General features: G+C 46.9%; 1 protein-coding gene and 1 long non-coding RNA gene across 10 annotated transcripts in view, besides 2 other annotated features; one reads left to right on the forward strand and one right to left on the reverse strand.

Annotated features, from left to right (window-relative positions):
• The window catches only part of IGSF3 (immunoglobulin superfamily member 3), a 93,358-nt gene that overhangs the window by 9,124 nt on the left and 64,153 nt on the right, over positions 1-20,081 (reverse strand). For 8 of the 9 annotated variants that reach the window (XM_047419052.1, NM_001542.4, XM_047419070.1 and 5 more), the window contains 3 exons: positions 16,420-16,824; positions 5,173-5,583; positions 1,124-1,531 (listed from right to left, as the gene is read on the reverse strand). In XM_047419052.1, coding sequence (XP_047275008.1) covers positions 1,124-1,531; positions 5,173-5,583; positions 16,420-16,824 — 1,224 coding nt within the window. Of the gene's footprint in view, positions 1-1,123; positions 1,532-5,172; positions 5,584-16,419; positions 16,825-18,860; positions 20,066-20,081 lie in introns of those variants that run through there. The other variant, XM_011541316.3, reaches the window with a different exon arrangement.
• On the forward strand, positions 9,630-12,220 carry LOC105378924 (uncharacterized). Its single transcript, XR_947737.3, has 3 exons — positions 9,630-9,789; positions 11,463-11,547; positions 11,812-12,220. It is a non-coding gene; the product is annotated as an uncharacterized LOC105378924 (long non-coding RNA).
• Positions 13,343-13,402: a silencer, noted in NCBI's record as "silent region_1234". NCBI's record gives its function as "represses an Ori minimal core promoter by ATAC-STARR-seq in GM12878 lymphoblastoid cells {active_cell/tissue: GM12878}" and the evidence as "EXISTENCE:reporter gene assay evidence [ECO:0000049][PMID:35858748]".
• Positions 16,064-16,565: an enhancer, noted in NCBI's record as "H3K4me1 hESC enhancer chr1:117142207-117142708 (GRCh37/hg19 assembly coordinates)". NCBI's record gives its function as "activates a minimal SCP1, AML or CMV promoter by ChIP-STARR-seq in primed H9 embryonic stem cells {active_cell/tissue: H9 hESC(primed)}" and the evidence as "EXISTENCE:reporter gene assay evidence [ECO:0000049][PMID:30033119]".

The following is a 20,081-nucleotide window of genomic DNA, read 5'->3' on the forward strand; positions in this document are numbered from 1 at the left end:
TGGAGATGCAATATTCCACCAACGAAATGAGCTGCTCTACTCAGACATGAAGACATGGTGAAAACTTCCAGTAGTGCCCAAGGCCACAAATGTGAATGTCAGGATGCTCAGAAAACAAACAAGATACTGATGGGGTCACGAATTCACTTCTCCTCCAGGTCCTTACAGGAACCATCGACTTTTCATTCTAATATGAATGGATGATGCTGTGATGTTGCAAAGGACATGGGAATCCTGCACATCGTAGCTTTGATTATGTGTTTAAATGTGCAACAACAATTATACCTAGTAATTACATGCATTTAGATATTTAGAAACAGCAATAAAGACAAGAAAAACAAAAGGCCACACAGAATAGTTATTAGTACTAATAAAATTATTGGGACCAGGCACAGTAGCTCACACCTGTAATCCCACCACTTTGAAAAGCCGAGGCGGTGGTGGGGGTCACGAGGTCAGGAGATCGAGACCAGCTTGGCCAACATGATGAAACCCCGTCTCTACTAAAAATACACAAATTAGCCGGGTGTGGTGGCATGAGCCTGTAGTCCCAGCTACTTGGGAGACTGAGGCAGGAGAATCACTTGAATCTGGGAGGCGGAGGTTGCAGTGAGCCGAGATCGCACCACTGCACTCTGCACTCCAGCCTGGGTGACAGAGTGAGACTCCGTTTCAAAAAAAAAAAAGTATTGGGAAGTGACAGAGTGAAGGCTGCACACAATTCATTGTTTTCTATTTAAAGCATGTAAATCGATTACTTTCCACTGAAAATCCACAAGCTGAATTTTCTCAACAACATGGTTATTGTTTCAAGATTTTTGTCATATCTGCCCTTTGTTCCAAATCTGGAAAAAGGAAATATTCTATGACCTGGAATAATTAATGGCCAGATTTTATTCTATTTAAGAAATCAAATCACCTTAGGCCAAAGCCAGACGTGCAATTTTCCATTCACAAGAAAAAAAATTCAGGCAATTTTGAATATAAATGCATATACATGTAGACACTCATATATTTAACTGCAAATAATTTATTAATAAACTAATTTTATCCAGTGCATAAAACAGTATACTTAAATGGGAAACACCAGAGGGAGTGGAAGCTTGGGGACGTGGACCCTCACCTGGTCGCATGACTGTCAGAGCTGTCTGCCCAGCGGTGTCCTCTGCCCGCTTATACCACATGCCACTGGGGCTGGGCAGCCACTCCTCCACATGGCAGCTGTAGGTCCCGCTGTCCTGCACAGCCACGTTCTGGATGAAGAGACGGTACACGCCGGGGGAAGGACTCTCCAAATGCAGCCGCCCCTTCAGATTGTTCTTGGCTGCCTGCTCTCCATAGTGGAAGGTGGCGTCACGGCTCAAGCGGGCCACAGTCTCCCGCTCAGGGTGGTTGGGCTTCCATACAAACCATTCCACCATGAGCTGGGAGGTTATGCTGGTGCGGTTGAGAACCACACACTCCAGCTGTACCTGCCGGGTCTCCAGAACCGACAGGTTCCCCTGGGCTTGGCTGAGCCTCAGGCGGCTGTCTGGAACAGTAAGGAAGAGACGTCAGCGACAAAAGGACAACAAGCAATTCGTACGCACCCTTTCCCAGGGTAGGTGAATGGATGCCTTCCAAATACAGAAGGACGGCAGCACACACTCCATTAGGAGAAACGTTTCTCAGATGTGGCTCCCTAAACATTCTGAGTTCCTTGATCGTGTGTCGGAATGCCTGGGTTTCAAGGAGCTCAATGTTACAATAACAGCTGTCCCAAAGTCGTAGCCCTCATCAGTTCTGATGCTCACAGGAGGACAAGCACAAGCTGTAGAGACTGCACATCCAAATGACAACGGACCACAAAACATGTCGCTGGCCGGGGCAGGTGGCTGGGAAGGGCGGGGGAAGGGGATGGTGAGAAACCTCTGAAAAGCAAGAGTAAACTTTTAAAACTGATCATATGGTGGCTAGAAAATGCTGGGCCACCAACTACAAAAGAACTGCAGGGGAAAGCCAGTTTAATCTGTTCATGTGTTAGCCCTACGAATTGTAGTCCAACATCCTTACAAAAACCCACACAGGTTCCTTCTCAGGTTGGGAATGGAACTGATATGACATCAGTAAAGAAAAGACTGCCAGACAAGGTGGCTCACGCCTGTAATCCCAGCACTTTGGGACGCCGAGGTGGGTGGATCGCTTGAGGCCAGGAGTTTGAGACCAGCCTGGCCAACACAATGAAACCCCATCTCTACTAAAAATACAAAAATTAGCCAGGTGTGGTGGTGTGCGCCTGTAATCCCAGCTACTCGGGAGGTGAAGGTTGCAGTGAGCTAAGATCGTGCCATTGCACACTCCAGCCTGTGCAACAGAGTGAGACTGTCTCAAAAAAAAGAAAAAGAAAAAGAAAAAGAAAAGATTGCTACTGATGGAACTGGGTGCTTTGAAAACTCAGCCAAGCAGAGTCTCCTCCAGTAGAAAAATGTCTTTAATGACAGCATGCCCCGATGGCATGCTTGTAATTTCACAAGGGCCCAAATGAGTCTATCAGGACCAGAGGTATCTAGAAGCTGTGACACTATGAATGCACAATAGCACCTCAGGAATGAGACTTCTGAGTGACATCAGAGGAGGGGAGGTTGGGCACTTTCACTCATTACTTTCTACACACTTCAATACTGCCTGAATGTTTTACAACATTCATGATTACTTTTGTAATTAAAAAGTCAGAAAATATAAAATAACAAAATATATTTTAAATAACCATTCTCCCTTTCTCCCTCCCCATCCAAAAAATACATATGTAAAAGAAGATATTGACTCTGGTTGTCTCAGGGTTGAAAGGTTATTTTCTTTGTTGAGTTTTGTTTTTTTGGGGGGGATTTTTGTGTGTGTGTGTGTGTATGTATTTTCCAAAAGCTCTGTAAGTGTAGGCTTTCTCAGCAGGGAAAAGGAAAGAACTAGAAGCAGAGAAAAAAGAAGAAAGAAAACAACACAAAGAAAGAAACGAGGAAAGCTGTTTTACTCGGTGTCCTCTGAGTTCCATGTTTACGGTGTTAAAGTTCACTGTAACAGAGACTTCACTAAATGTGTTGAGGGGGGTCCTTCTAGTCCTTCCGCACTGTCCCACTTAGCTTGATTGTAGTCTCAGAGAGGGAAATCCCCTCAATAAATTTAGGATCCTCCAAGAATCTCTTGGTTTCAGTACAAATGAGGAAAGGAAAAAATGGTGATGACTAGAGTGGAAATGCAGAGTGGTGGGGGTGATCATGTTCTTTCAGTAGAGAAAATAATCAGAACTGAAAACAGATGAAAAATAGGAACCAAAAGAACACTGGTGGGCCTAATGACAACCTTCAATGTTCAAAAGCCCCAGGGACTGGCCTGAAGTCAGGACATATGTCACCGAAAATGCCAATGGGAATCACTTCAGACCAGAGCTTCCTGTTTAATGCACCAGCAGAGGTTAGCAGAAAATGCCACCGAGAGGCCAGTGAGAATCTCTGGAAATATAATAACCTCAGGCAAAGGAGGGGAACAGACTCACTGCATTCAGCAGGGCACAGGCCACATGTGGAGTTTGGTATCGGGTTCCACTGGCTTACTGAATAGGCCTCCTTAGGAGACAAGCAATAGTGAAGAAAACCAAGTCCCTATGCTTACTCAGGAGGCTTCAATTCTAGTAGAAGAGATAGAAAACAAATGTGTGTGTGTGTATATATATATGTATTCTAGTATAAAAATAATAAGACATAGTAACTGATAAGTCAATTATAAGTAAATACTTCATAATTACTTATATATGAATAAGTAAATTAACAGAATGTCAGGTGGTGATATGTGTTGTGAAAGGGCCGGGGAAAGGAAATCTAGAGTGATGAGGGGGCTACATTTAAGTTAAAATGAGCTAGGAATCCCCCTTCACGGAAGAGCAAGACAAATGAATATCTATGGCCAACATGTTCCAGGCTGACAGAACAATAAGTACAAAGGCCTTAGGGTGATCAAGGAAAGCAACCATTTATTCCTTATTCAACCAATATTTACTAAAAGTACCATGCCAGTGGCTGAAGATATAAGACACAGCCCTGTCCTCAACATGCTTACAGAGTAGTACAGAAGAAATGCAAACCATTATTAGGCTATGTGTTTTAGAAGGGACCCCTACTGGTATGGGAGAAATCAGGGTAGGCTTCTTGGAGGTGGTGCTGAATGAAGTCTTAGGGATGGAGTGAAGACAAGGGAGAAGCAGCAGGAAAAACACATTTCAGACAATGAGGGCAGCACAAGCGAAGGCACGGAGATGAGGCTCTGGGTGGCAACACAGCACCCCCCATGGCCCATCAAGAAGGACAGGCAGTGACAACAACGAATTGCAGGGATGTGAGAATGAGGGGTGGAGAGGCCCTTCAGGCTACACTATGTGAGAAGTTGAAAGGACTAGAGATCTTTAACAGAGAAGGGGCATACATTTCATGTATTTGAAAGGAAATGACGCAGACTTCTCTTTGGTTGTTCCAGGGGCAGATCTAAAAAGGGAAATTACAGGAAAGTGAACTTTTTAACAATCAGAGCTGCCCAAAAATGGAACTGAGGCTTGCGGACTGAATAGCTCTCCCTCCCTGGAAGCATTCTGGCAGAGGTTGAGTGCCACCTGTGAGGGAGAGGAATAAGGGCTACACCATGGGATCAAGGAAGGGCCAGAGGAGGAATGATTCAGTTTGGAGATAGGAAAGGCTTGTCTGGGCGGGCTGGGAGCTAAGGAAGAAGGGGGATGCAGATGCATAAAACCAGAAAATGCCTTCTAGGTAGGAACTCTGGGTGTGGAGCTGGTGTCAGCCCAAGATTCAGGGTGCAAACTGCAAACCCAGAAGAAGATTCAGGAGCTGCCATGAACCCTGCCTTGCCACATTTTGCTAACCACAGCTGCCCTGCTCCTTGGTGAAGATGGTATCCACAGAAGCAGAGTCAAGGATGCTTCCATGAGTCTGCCGTCAGCATCAGGACCCACTGCAGGTAAAATGGATGGGATTGCAGTGTGCTAGGGTGATGGTCCGTGTACCTGCACCCATACTCAGCATGCACCTTGCAGACAGTCTCTCCACACCAGCCCCACAGATCCCCACCCACCCCCAGGCAGTCTCTGCACTAAACCCACTGGCCCAGGACAGCCGTGCCCTGCGGCCTTACCTGGCTGTTTCACAGTGACTTCTGTGCGCCCAGAAACCTCCTCTGCCAGCTTGTACCAGGCGTAGTTGGGGCTCAGCAGCCACTCCTCCACGTGGCAGTAGTAGCTGCCGCTGTCGCTGACCTCGGCTCTCTGGACGGTGAGGCTGAACAGGCCCCCCGACACATGCCTCTCAAACTGGAGCCTGGCTCTCAGGCCCTCCTCCTCGGCGTAAGTACCGTATTCAAAGGCGGAGTTGTGGGTGGTCTTCAGGATAAGCTTGCCATCGGCATCCGAGGGCTTGTGGACATACCAGAGCACCGCAAAGTGGGAGTTCTGGCTAGTCTGAGACTTGACTGAGCAGTTCAACTGAATGGGCTTGTTTTCCACCAGGGTGAGGGTCCTCTTCGATTTGCTCACCTGCAGCTTTGTCACTGCAAAGGAAAGGGGAACACAGGAATCACCACAGACTCCCAGAAACGTGGCCCATCCACCTCCAGGCTCTGAGCCAGGTTTCCTCCAGCACAGTTCCTGGGGGATTTAACACCGACTGGCTTCAGTGTGAGGAAGGCAGCACGGAGCCCAGGCCACCGCTAAACATCCTTCCCTGTCTCCTCCTTGCCATGCGCCTGGCTTAGGCCTTCACCATCTCTCCCCTATCCACTGCCTGCACAGCCCACCATCACAGGGCCTCCAAGGGTGATCCTGCTGAAATACAAATCTAGCTATATCAGGTCTCTGCTTGAAAAGTTTAATGGCTCTGAACTACCTACGGGCCAGAGAGAAACAATTCCTTTTCACAGCACAAAGTCCCTTCAGGATCTGGCCTTCACCCAAGTGTCCTGACTCATCTCTCACGACTCACCCTCAGGCACCCTCCACAGGCGCATGCCCCTGGTGCAGTTTCCCTGAGCCCTGGCCTTTGCCCTTGCTGTCCTCTCTGCCTGTCTCCTTCTGCCACCTCCCACCCTGACCCTTCTCTCCACTTATCCCTCATTCCCGTCCCCCTGGGCTCCATACCCTTCCTCAGCACCCTCTATATATCTCTGGGCTGTGTGTCCTCACATCTCTCTCCCATATCCTAGATGGTGAGCTCCCCCAGGGCAGGGATCAAACTCCTTCCACTCAATCAGCCAGTATTTACGGAGTGCCCACTCGGTTTCCCACAGGATGCTAAGTGCTGGGGATGCCCTGAAGAGTAAGCCGGAGTCCCAGCCCTCATGGGGTGGACTGCCTAGCGGACATTCTTATCGCTGCACCCCCAGAGCCTAGCACAGCACCTGGGCCAGGAAAGCATTTGATCAGTGTTTGCTGAAATAGGTGAACGAGTGGGTGAGCGAATGAGAGCACGTTGGAGAAACACGGCAACAGGTAATTAGAGGATGCTGCGGGCGGGGGGAGAGGGGGCTTCCTCTGGGGGAGTGAGAGAGAAGGCTGAGAAGACAGTAAACCACGGGACAAGGCAAAGCCAACTACAATCCTCCCTTCTCCTCACTGTCCTGCTCCAAAAACAGACAAGAGGGCAGCCTGTGGAGCGCCTCCCCAGCAGCTAATTAATGACGATGTTCACCTTGCCAGTGGCAAGAAGCCAAGGTCTAATGAAATCCATCTTAGGAAGGTGATTTGAGATCTCACCCACCCCATCATCATTAACCTCGGCTCTGCATTCCCCTACCCAAGCCTTTCCCGCTACTAAAAATGAAAAAAAAAAAACAAAAAAACAATTCTAAGTTCCTCTTAGGGAACTAATAGTACAAGAATTGTTCCACCTCCACCACTCTCTTCACACTTAGTTTTTCCGCCACAGGGACCAAACCACTTCCCAGCTGAGAAAGAAAGCAGGGGCAAGGTGCAGATTCCACCCAGGGACAGCAACCTAGGCCTCCTCCAACCGAGCTTGTGTGGAGGGCAGGGGCAGGGGCAGGGCAGGGATGCCTGGCCAGGCTCCAGCACTCTACTGGTCAGACTCTTGTCTCTTTAGTCCAGCTCAACCCCAGGAACTGCATCCAGACCCAGGACCCAGCCCACTGGTCATGACCCTGGCCTGCCAGCTGGCTTAAGCTTGGTTTGGCAGCATCAAGGGTTGATTGAGTCCCATGCATCACAGAACCAAAACTTGTGAAAGCCACAGACTGCCACTTGGTCTCCCTGTAACACACAGACAAATGTTCTGAATGGATGGAAGGATTTAGCAAGCCAAGGTGTGGCAAAGTCCAATTCCCAATGCCATGACTGAGCAACACTGCGGAGCATCTCCCGCAGTAAATCGGACATTCTCTCCAGGAAGACTTGTTGAATTCACAAACCCACAGACCTTCTCACGCCATCAAGAACACACCAGGCACCACTTAGAGAGAAATCCTGTGTGCCACGGCCCCACCCTCCCGGGTTCATCTTTTTTGTTAGCAAGTCCAATCTTCTGCCTTCTCCCTTCTTCAAATGCAGAAAGTCCTCTAGGGCACACTAGGAATCCAGGACAGGGTTTACCATTAAGCTCCCAAGCTCTGGAAACTAGATTTGCATTCGCTTGCCAGTCGACTTTTCAGATTGGATTCCTATAATACTTGAAACAACCGGCTCCCTTTTCATTCCTTTCCAACCCAATTCACCGCATGCAAATGATATCTATATCAGTGCAAATGACACCACCTGAATTATCTGGTTCTTGGCCAAAAAAACTGGGTTGTTCAGCATGGAGTAGAAAGAGCTTTAAAATGTATTATTAATTGGGGCCGGATTATTTTTGCAACTGTTACTAAGGAAACCTCAATTGCTATAGTAACTGCATATGTTAAACTGGAATCCTATGACTAAACTTCTATTCAGTCACATGGTCTGAGAACATGAATTCAAGGAAGAGAAATGTTTCAAAGCATTTCCATTTTTTTTCCTTCCCATGTCAAAATATTGTGAAGTGTTGAGAAGCTTGAAAGAGAGGCATTTTTTAAATTTGGTGCACGTCTGACAGGTGGGCAAGGGGTCAGCTCCTATTCTATGCTCTGGATTTCCTCCCACATCTCCAGGGCAGGTAGGACCTTTCCTGAGGCACAGGGGAGACTGGAATCTCCACATATAATTAGGGAGCCCTCCCATGTCCTGCCAGAGCCCTGCCCTGGGCGGTGTACAGCTTGCGTGCACCACCTTCCTCCACAGAGCTAGGAGAGCCCTGCCCACTTAGAGACCACAGGTGTTTTCATCTGCAAAATAAGAACAATGTCTCTATCTCCATTAGGAGTTTTGTGCAGACTAAAAGCAATGGTCTATAAAAAGAGTTTAGCACAGAACCTGGGATATAACAAACACCCAGTGAATTTTAGCTATTCTCATTCCTTTTTGGTTTCTGTGCCTTGTCCCAAGTTCAAAGTTCAACACTTAGAATGGGAGTTGTCAAGCATAAGTGGCAATCTTCCTGCTCAAAGTGCTGTTCTCGGACCAGCAGCACTGGGAGCTTGTTAGAAATGCAGACTCTCAGGCCCCACCCCAGACCCAGTAAGTCAGAATCTGCACTTTAACAAGATCCCCAGGTGATTCACAAGTAGCTTCAAGCCTGAGAAACCCTGGACTTGGCCGTGTGAGTGAATGGGCTTTGAGAGGCCATAAATGCAGACGTGAAAGAAAAGAGTGAGGCTTGGTTAACCCCCAACAGTGAATTGGCAGGAGGAAGAAAGAATCCAGCAAGAGACAGGAAGAGGGTCCGAGAGTTGCTCCAGCTCACGCCAGCAGCTGCCTTCACAGCAGCCCCCAGAGGCCAGGCCCTGCTTTGAGGGAGTGGCCCTTTCTTTCTGCAACTGGAGAGTTTCCTTCCCAGGCTTGTGATTAAAACTTGGAAGATCTGTGTTTTGTATGGTAGGAGAGGCTGTTGTGTTTGTTACAGGCCAGGATAGGGTGGTTTCAAGGTGAGACATCAGGAAGAGGGAAGAACTTCGCAGCGGAGACCAGCAGCAGCTTTCTCAGCCAGCCTACCCTCCCTTCGGATTCCACTCTGTGCGTGCTCTTCTCACTCAAAACTCATTTATTTCTTCAATAAAGGATTCCCTTACGCTCTACTATAGCTGTGTTACTGCTGCCTTACAACGAAGGTAATTCTTAAAATCTTCTCTTTCTTACAAAATTCTAAGCATATGCAGGGCAGGGACTCTGACCCAATCATTGTTAAACTAATCAATGAATGGTTGAATAAATGTGGTTACTTTTCAAAAGGAGGGGCAATTCTGATTTTGATAGAAAAGAGAACATTTCAAAAGGTATATGGCCCCTGAGCTAGGCCCTGAGAAACAAGCAGAGAAGGAGAATCAAAGGGCACGCCAGAGAGAGGGGACAAGAGGAAAAAGATGACAACTACCCTGTGCACTCTATTCAAGGAGGAGCAAGTGCTCAGGTGTAGTGGATGAGGTTAGAAAGGTAAGCTTCGGCCACACTGCAAGGGGCCTGCAGCTTGTACTTGATCCTGACCACCTGTGGCCCTCAGGGTGCACGCCATGGATCTGCAGATCAGCATCACCTGGGAATCTGCCAGCCCCTGCTAAGTCAGAAAAACTGCGAGTAAGGCTCAGCAACCTGCAGTCTCATGAGCCCTCCAATTGATTCTGATGCACATTCAAGTTTGAGAAGCAACAGCCGTGCTGCTGAGGTGGTTGCCGGTAAGTCTGGAGAAGGTGGTTTCTGTGCAGTGCTGTGAGCAGCAGCCAGAGTGGCACGTGCAAAGAGATGGGCACTGAGGGAGGAAGACACTGCTCTTTATTAAAGACAACAGACAGTAATGCTAGAGATAGAGGCGGCCAGTGGCTGCGGCAGGAGATGTTTCAAGTGGAGAGAAGCAAGTCAGATGAGAGACAAGGAAAGAATGCAGGGTGAGCTGCATGGGAAGCCAGTGGCACAGGCGCCTGCCAGTCAAACTGTTACTACCCCTGAGTCCCTCTGTCCTTAACACCCCTTGGCTCCCTGCTCTCTCCACATGACCATTCCCTATTTGGGCCCTCAATGATCTCTTTCTCAGGCTCTTGTAATTGGCCTGCATATGACACTCCCTCCCTCTCAGCCTAGCCACAGCCAGGGGATTTCCCTAAATGGCAAATGGGGCATGCTACTGCCCACGGCTGCCCACCCCACAGCCCGTGACAGCAGTTCTCAATAAGGCAGCTAATTGCAAGCAGGTCTCTGGTTGCCATATTGATTTGGGGAGGGGTATATATTCAATGGAATAAAGCCATTAAAGATGTAAAATTGTATCTGGGACAACTCCATGCAACAAAACTCTGCCTCGTGTCCTGTGTGACTTTCGAATGACATTCATATGGGCAAAAATTATGCCTCTGGGCCTAGAACCTACTTTCGTTTTACTATAATCACAATACTTTTATTTTGCATGGTTTTAAAATATGCCAGGTCAGTCAAGAGAGGATTTTCCTTTGTTTTGTTCAGAATTGTAGCAAGAGTTACTCAGGACTTCAGAAACCCTGTCAGGATGGCAGTCCTGCTCATGGTGCCAAGTCTGATACAGTGACTGTCAGTGTGCATTTAGAGACAGCGTTGACTGTGACTGTGCCTCCTAGCATAGCTGTCCTGAGCATTTACGCACTGAAACTCATTATTTTACTATGAACTACTTTTTTTAAAAAAAACTTTCTTTATCCCACAACTAGGACAATATAGCAAATTTTAAAGATATGATTAGGAATGTTATATTGTATATGAATTTCATTTCTGGGTAAAGGGAACATTATAAATTATTACAAAAATGGAGTATATGATCTGGGTATGAGCTAAAGTCCTAATTTCTGAGTTTAGGATATTCTCATTTATTTAGCAAACTTTCATCTGGTCCTATGTGCTCAGCACTATTCTAAGCACTTTATAAATATTAACTATTTGGTCCTCACCAATCCTATGAAATAAATATTATTCCCAATTTTATAAAGACACTTGCCCAAGGTCACACAGCTGGCTTAGTGGTAGAGCTGGAATTCAAACCCAGGCCGTCTGGTCTGTCCTTGCTTTTAGCTATTACATATGCCCACCCTCACCCCATGCTCCCATGTACAAAAGGGACTTCTTGATCCCTGCCAGCTTGCCTGGGGGTGAACCCTCCCCAGACCCCATGCTTTAGTCATCTCAAGATAAGCATGCTGCTCCCACCCTCCGTGACTATATTTATTCACACTCTTCTCTGAGCCTGAAATGCTCCACTCCTCCTTCCCAACCTCCCACCCTCACCCCTACCCCATTCCCTCCTCACGCCCCCTGCCCCCGTTCATGCCCTGTGCTGGCTCTGCCTCCACACCTGTAACGCTTTTCTGCTCTCCTTTGTCCCTAGGCCTGCTGCCTCCCACAGAGCCCGCAAGGCAGGAACGTGACACACCCATCTCAGCAGCCTCACCAGCATGGCAACCTGGCACTTAGTAGGTGCTCAATGCATGCAGAGAGACAGGGAGGGAGGGGCAAGGGGAAAGCAGCAAGAGTCTGCAGGTGGAAATAGCTAATGAAGGTTACCCAGATGTGCCCTACCCTGCCTTACCTGTCTGCAGGTAGGGCAGTGACCCTGGCTCCTTGATGCCAATAACAAGTGCCCCGGTGTTACCATGACAACAGGCCTGAGGGATCTGGGAGGGGCTGAGCTCTCCTCTTAGGGCTCTTGCACTGACACCCATTCTATCTTGGCACAGACAACAGGCAGAAGCCACCTGGGATGGAAGAAGGAGAACCCCAGACTCCCCTGAAAGAAGGCAGAGGCCAGTCCTCTGAGGGATGGGGCAGCCATCCCTCAGAATGTGAAAGGAGAGCCAGTGTTCACATGCTCTGGACTCATGGAAGTCAAAGAAAAGCCCTCTGCTATCCCAATCTGCCGGGTCAGCAATAAGAAATAGAAGAAAACCGATTTGGCAACATCCAGAGGGTATTAAATATTCATCCTGACTGCCCATCAGTAAAATCCCAGCAGAATACACCCTCTGACAAGTCGGCTTTCCACCACTAGAGGCTGTCCTCATGGAAGCTTGTTTATGGCTTTGTCAATTTTAATGTACAATATTTAATAGCCAAACCAAGATATTGTCATAAACATTTGGAAAATGAGTGCTAACATTTCCCTTACTGCTTCTGTATTTAAGGATATGTAATTGGAGGGTGTTTTGAGCTAAAGAAAATCAGAAGGAAGCAAGGCAATTATGCTTCACAATTAAAAGAGAAAAGAACTGATTAAGAGCTAATAATCAAACATGTGAACTGGCTGAAAGTCTTGCCTAAGCACCCCTTGAGGGGTCACACTATGTGATCAATGGGGATCAGACTAAGCTAGATCAATGGCAACGTTGACAGTGATGGCATTCCTTGAAGATTCTGTTGGGGATATGCATATGCAACAGGAAGCACACACAGGGAATGGTCAAATAACAGATCCACAAGTCAACTGTGCCATCCAACCAGAGATTCTGATGAATACTGATATGGGGGCAGGATCAGCAGGTGGCTCCAGCAGGGACGAGTCTGGGGCACAGACCACAAAGAAGCTTGCTGCGATAAATGATATCACAGCAGTGGAAGGCTGATGGTAAACAGACCAGCATGAGTGAGTCAACAGTCCCTGGGTTCCTATTTGATTCTGATGGAATAAGAATATTTAACACAATATTCTTTAAAACGGGGGTAGCAGGGGACATTTCTATGGAAGACACCAGAGCAGGGCTAAGAATCTATGTTTTGAGGGGCAAGGTACGCAGGGAGAGCAAAAGAAGAGAGGACAGCGCTGGTTCGGAGCTCTGGTATCCGCAAGTCTTAGAGCCACCTTGTGGCAGAAGCTGGAAGAATCAGGAGTTAAAAGAGGCACAAGATAAAACTTCTACACCATCAGCAAACTGTGTCTTGAGGAACCTCTACCAATGTCTTATGACCCCAACTTCCAAAAAACAAATTTAAGGATTTGCTAAAGGGGATTAGGAAATCAGGGGTGGTTAACCAGAGAGAGGAAACATTAAATACAAGTATACAGTACCAAAGAGGATTCCTGAGAAGAAAAACACTTGTCTAGAACATATAATAATAAAATTAGGAACTTGGACTCTGGAGCCAAACTGCCTGTCTGGACTTGAATCCTGGCTCTGCCACTTACTATGGCACACTGGGCAATTTATGTAACTTCTGTGTCAGTGTCCTCATCTGTGAAGTTGGGTAAAACGGTCCCCCTCACAGCACTGCATGGATTAAGAAACGAGGAACCAAAGCATTCACAGTGGTTTACAAGAAATGCTCAGTGAATATTAGCTGCTACTGTTGTTACTACCAGTAACACTAGTGCTATAACTCCTCCACATCATCAATCTACAAGGAGAAAATTCTTCTGTAAAGGACACGATTAACTGAATGCTGAAAGAATAATCTCTGATTACATAGCCTTTAAAAGGTCAAAGTCTCCCTACCGCAATTACTCTTTAACAAGGCACACCTGGATTCAAATCCCAACTTCCCCCATTCACTAGGTGTTTAATTTGAGGAAGTGAGAATCTCTCAGAGCCTCTGTTACTTCATTTATAAAATGGGAAAGCAATATGTTCCTCCCAGGGTTGCAGTGAAGATTAAGTGAGGTAATATACACCAAGTGTCCAACAGTCTCCAGCGCACAGTCAGCTCTCATGTATTTTTCCACTTCTATTTCCCCAAAATGAATGCACCAGCACCAAAGTATATAGGAAAGAGTAAAAACTCATATGAAGCTCTCTGGAAAATATTAAGTGCTAAATGCATAAATATTTAATAGAGGAGAGACAGTAACACTTAAGGGGATGCACTCTCCTGGTGCCTCAGCTGCCCTCTGGGAGTCCTGCACGGCCTCAAGCACCCACCTTTGCTCTTCCTAGCCTCCAAAGGGCCATAAAAGTATATTACTGTGCACCTTTAAGTAGAGGCCTCTTAACAGCCCAAGTACAGTGATACTCATAAGTCTCCTCTGCCAACCACTGTTCATTCTCACTTTACAGTGAAAACACAACAGAAACCAACTCAAGACACCCAAGACACAAAGACGACCTCAGAGCAGATCTGGGGTCTCCCAACCCTCCAGCTACTTTACCCAGGAGGCAATTATGGTATAAAGGAAAACATTTGCTCTATGGAAGTCAGAGATACCTGGGCTCCAATCTCAGTTCAAATCTCAGTTTTGCCACTTAACCAGCTGGCTTGCCTCCATCAAGATTCCCAACCACTTTGAGCCTTGGTTTCCTCATTAGCAAAATAGGGATACAAACACCTACATTATTAGGTTGTTGGATAAATTTAAAAAGAAAACATGAGTAAAGCACTAAGCAGAAACCTGGCATCCAAGAGGTACTTCATACATATTTTTCCCTGTCTGCCTTTAGTAACACCATAAACTAATCCAAATAATTAGAACCTTCAATGAACTAATTCTGTATTCTTCCCTTAGGCACTCCAGTCTTAGATTCCAAGTAGTACCAGAAACAGGCAAATACTAGGGATGTATTCAAAAAGGCAATGTCAGACAAGGTCTTGAGGTCAGCAACTCCTCTACCTTCTACAGCTGCAGAACCATGTGATGGGCAATGCTGCTCAGAAAACTGACCTTGAGAGCCAGAGGGGACAAAAAAAAAAGGTGCAATTACAATCCTAATGTCCCACTCAATAATGCAGGCAAGTGGGTACCTCGACATTTTCCACAACAAGGGTTCACATAAAATGGGGTCTCTGCTTAACCTTCCATTAACCTGAAAATCCATTTAAGCAAAACAGCCTCTTCCCTGAGCCTCTTGTCAGTCGAAGTTTAGGCTGTCATTGGCCAAGGGAACAGTCTCGTCATTTATACAACTCACTTGTTCCAAATCTGGTACAGAACAGAACTCTGTTATGGGGTTAGAAGAGGTGAAGGAGAAACCCAAAGGTTACCATTATTTAACCTCACGTTGCTGAAAACGACACTGTGGCCACCTAAAGCAGTCAGGCAGACTAGGTCAGGCACTAACCATGGCTGTTAGTGGGCAGAAAAATCCCTTTGGCAAGGCGTTCCAGCCATCTTTGCAAAGTCAAACCCTTGCCCTTGCCTGCACAGGTGTCTGTTCCAGCCGAGGCATGGGCTGGGCGAGGGAAGGAACACGGGAGCCTACTGCCTGGGCTCCACCCTCCACCAGCTTCTAACCTGGCAGGAGACAAGGACAGATGCAGGAAAACCATAAGAGCTGCATGTACTTAACTCCTCCCACGTGTCAGCTGAAGAGCCTGATGAAGGCGAGAGTGTTTGCAGAAAGCCCCACTGACTAATGCTCCCCAAATTAATGCATCCTTATGATCCGCTTTGAGACAGACTCAGCCTCCATAGAGAAAGGAGCTCAAATTCAGGGCCCATACAACTGGACAGGGCCTGGGTGCAGGCAACATTGTGGGAGAAAGACAACCGGGGTTCAAATCCTGGCTCCACCATTCACTAGGTGGAGCCTAGTGACCTTAAGCTAGTCACTTAAATCTTTCCTGGGGTTGTTGTGCAATTCTAATAAAGTAACTGACCTTCAGCGCCTCATGCAAAGAAGATGCTCAATAGGTGCCTATTACCCTCCCTCTTTACTCAGAATTTCCTTGTCTATGAACAGGAGACAATGATATCACTTCCACATAATTGTATGAGGATTATAGGAGATGAGGTTAAGTAAAGAAAAGGGCTTTCTTTAAAACAATTGGCCTGTGCATTTCACAAATGTCCATGTCTACAGACACATACATATACACACACACACACACACACACACACACAAACACACAGGTTAGGGAATTGTTCTAGATTAAAGGAGTCTAAAGAGACAGGATAACAAATGTGATGTGTGATCCCTGGTTGGATCCTAATCTGAAAGGGAAAAATAAAGGGCATGACTGGGACAACTGGGGAAATGTAGGTGGTAGGACTACACTAACGTAAAACCCCAAGGGTGTGATGATGGTGCAGTGGGTGGGTAGGTTCTTAGGAGTTACATGCTGAAGTACTTAGGGGGAAGTGTCCCAATGTCCACAGCTTTCCCTCCAATGGCTCAAAAACAACAACAAACATACACACAGAGGAAGAAAACAAATGCCGTCAGACAACAACTGGCTATCAAGGAAAGGAAATACAAGTGTCCACTGCACGATTCTTAAAACTTCCTATTGATTTGCAATGTGTCTAAATGAAGAGCTGGGAAAGGGGGAAGTGACGCTAAGGGCTCCACGCACACCTTTCTTTTTCCCTCACGTCTGCTCAGGCAGCATGGGCACATAGCCCACAGGTCCGCAGCACTCACCTGGCTGCAGCACCCTGATCTCCAGCAGGTTGGAGGTCCTCTCCGCCAGTCGCGTCCAGGTGTTGTTGTAGTTCTTCCGCCACAGCTCTGCCACACACTGGTACTTGCCTGCTTCCGTGTCACTGGCTCGGCTGATGCTTAGGCGGACGTTGTTGCTGGACTCAGCCTTCTCGATGGCAGTTCGGGTTCGGAAGCTGGAGGACCTGTCCCCCCACTGGACCCCTCCGTCCCGGGTGAAGGTCACCAAGTCATGGAACTCCACCGTGCCCACCGGCTGGAACCGCCATGTCACCGACACGGGGACCCAGGCAGGGTAGTGGGGTTTGATGATACACTGCAAGTCAAAGGAGTCGCTGTAGGTCACCCCCGGTGTCCGGGAGATGGCTGTGACTGCGAAGCCCATTTCTGGAGAGAAAGCAGAGAGATTCAACCAGAGGAGGCATGTGGCTTTCTCAGGGCAGTATGACATCAGCAATGGGGCAGCTGGCAAAGCAAGCAGTGTGGGACAGAGGCTCTCGGAGCCCCTTTTGAGCTCTCAGGCTAGTGTTGCTTTTAGTATCCTGCTGAGGCCCAGTCCAAGAGTTTCCAAGACTCCAAAGAAAGGCCCACCACAATTCCCCCTGAGCAGCACTAGCCTAACCCTTCCCAGTGAGATCCTCGTGCATTTGCTCCTCCCCTGGAATTAGACATCACAATCCTCTCAGGGACTGATTGCATGTAGGCAGGGTTGCTCCTAGAAATCTTGAGATTCCATGAGAGAACAGGAAAAGAAAACCCCAAAGCCAATTTCCTCCATTGCACAGGAGGAAAACACAACCACACAGCCCCAACACCACTTTTCCTGGTCCCTTAGCGCACTGGTGCCGAGAAGGGAAGCAGATGGAGTCGGCCTCCAGTCCCTTTCTCACGTCCCTCATGAAATCCAAAAACAGAGCAGGTGGGGACCTCCAGTGGGGTGGGACAATTATCCTAAATGCAGGGTTCTGCAGGCTCAGCGGCTGTGGGTCTCTCAATATTCCTTATTGAATGGGCAGCACTGCTAAGCCCTAATACTGACTCCTCAATATGAGTACCTCAGAGCTCCTTCAGCCTGGAAATACTGTTTAATATTCATACATTGATCACAATCATAAAGCTAACAGTAGCCAGTATTTATTGAGCACTATCTAGGTGCAAGCATGGTGCCAACTGCTTTGCTCTCATCATGCTCCACTGAATCCCCAAAACAACCTTGTAGAACAGGCAGGCTTGTCATCTCTTCCTGCAGATGTAGAAACTGATGCAGAGAGAGGTTAGATAAATTGCCCAATATCAAGCATTTAGTAAGTCAATGACAGAGTTAGTCTCCAACCACATGTAACTGATTCCAGGGGCCTTTTTAGGTTGCTTTACCCATGGAAAGCATAACACAGTGGTTAAAGGTCTAGACTCTGGAGCCAGCAGCCAAGACTTTGATACTTCCCAGCTGAGTGACATTAAAGTTACTTAACTTCTCTCTGCCTCTGTTTTCCAATCTGTAAAATGAGTCTCTGTGAAGATTAAATAAATCAGTGTTTATAAATATTACAAATAGTACCTGGCACATGAGATATACTATATTTTGTTAAATATTTTGTTAAAAATAAAATAGAAATTTAAAAAAAGTACTTTAAACTCTGTAATGTGAAAGACTGGCCACAGGATGAATCTTTTGGCTTTCTATGGTGAGGTTAAGTTGGCAAATAGGTAGGTACAATTTGCTGAAAACTCTGGACCTTTGATTTGGATTTCATAAGCTATCTCTATATACCCTTTAAAAAAGTTTATGACACGGAGGCCCATCCTTAAACATGAAGCGCCTGTGACAGTCGCTGTGCACCTGTGTGTAGTAGGTGTTGCATGAGGGTGGTGTAGGACAGAACCTCAGGGACAGGACCCACACCAGGTGCTCCTGGCCTCACACCTGAAGGGGAGAGAGCTTCCCCAAGCAAATGACTTTGTCTAGTCCTGACACGGGCACATGCCATGGTCACAGAGCACCCAAGCTGCTCTAACCGAACAGCCATAATGACCCACTGTAATTAGATGGGACCCGCATCTAATTATACTGATATGAAAATTCATGTGTGTCATTGTTAACTTTAGACTGAAAAGACAACCTTAATTAGTCTAGAGTGCCCTCCCATTCTTCCTTGTTCAGTCCTTTGGGCCACCTGATTATGGCTCTAGCCAGAGGTATCTCAGTGGTGGAGATCAGGTGAACAGTGCTGGCCTCCAGATCCCAGGGCAGAGCCCCTCAGTGCCCCTGGCTGTGAGAACCACCAGACATATGGTGAGTAAGAAAAAACTCAGGGGATAACCTGATAACATAAATTACTTCTAGAGAAACAATCCTCACTAACTCTAATCACTCATTGGACATTCCTAACCTTCCAGGATGGTTAAAAAAAAAAAAAACACACCAGTACTGGACATCCAAAAGTTGTCCCCCAAGTTCCATCTCACTGGGTTCACACAGGTGCTGAGTATGGATACAGGAACTGAGCTGATCAGGAAACGCAATCACTGGAGGAAGTTTCTAAGACAGAAATCTGAGCTGTATAATTACTGCAAAAAGCAGGTCAATCTTTAGGATTAAGCTTTAGAAAATAAATGTAATTCTAATCTCAGAGGGGTAAGAAAATGGAGGACTCTGTTAAGGACAAAAACCACTTGGGGCTGCCATCTTTACTGGAAGTATCCAAAAGCACCACCATCCCAACCTGCAAGGAAGGTGGTGACACAGTCCCAGGGAGTGGGACATAAAGTTGCTGAGGACAACCGATGTCTCCTGATAAACAGGAAGACCTGATATAACAAGTTTCTTTCCCAGCAAAGTCACAGACTGGTCGTTTAAAATCTAATAGACTGATTATATCCAGGCAGATAAATGTTGATAGAAGCCTCTTTACCCCATGAGAAGCAAATCTAATCTTCCTTGGTTTTAGCAAATCTCAAGGTATCTTTTCATTCCACGCTAATGAGGGAATAGCTTTGTTAGGTATGGGCCCCGTCAGGTAGTAGAAACTTCTAGCCTTAGGCAAAGTATTTAATGTGTCTCAGTCTCAGTTTCCTCCATAAAATGAAAGTGTCTGTCACTTGGCTAGGTGGGGATTCAATGGGACAACTAAGCTTAAGTGTTAAGGATCAGGCAGGAACATAGTAAATGCTAAATAAATGACAACAGATGATTTTATACCCTTCTCTGCTCTCTTTCAGGAAGGCTGGCCCCTGGGCAGCAGGGCAGGAAAGACATGCCACACAGTGCTCAGCCACTCTGCTCTCTTTAAGGCCAGGCTGGCAGTGGCCATGCTCCTCCACCTGGGGCCACCACTATGGCTGGGTGGCTTCACTAACCTGGATAGAGTTCTGATAACATCACTCTCTCCCAGCCAGACTAGGAGTAGTCACAGCTCCCAGCTATTGCTATCCCTCAGGAGCCCCATCATCCACTGTGGGTCCCTCAGTCCCTGCTAGCACTATCTTAATTAATTAAACCCTTATAAGAAATAAAATAGACATAAAGGAAAGTACTTCAAACTCTATAGGTAAAAGACTGGCCATAGTTTCCTGCTAAAACTCTGACTGAGAAAAGTCAGGATAAGGTGTTTGACACTGAAGCTGTCTCCATGCCAGACCCACTG

This window comes from Homo sapiens, chromosome 1 (assembly GCF_000001405.40).
Source record: "Homo sapiens chromosome 1, GRCh38.p14 Primary Assembly".
NCBI lineage: Eukaryota > Metazoa > Chordata > Mammalia > Primates > Hominidae > Homo > Homo sapiens.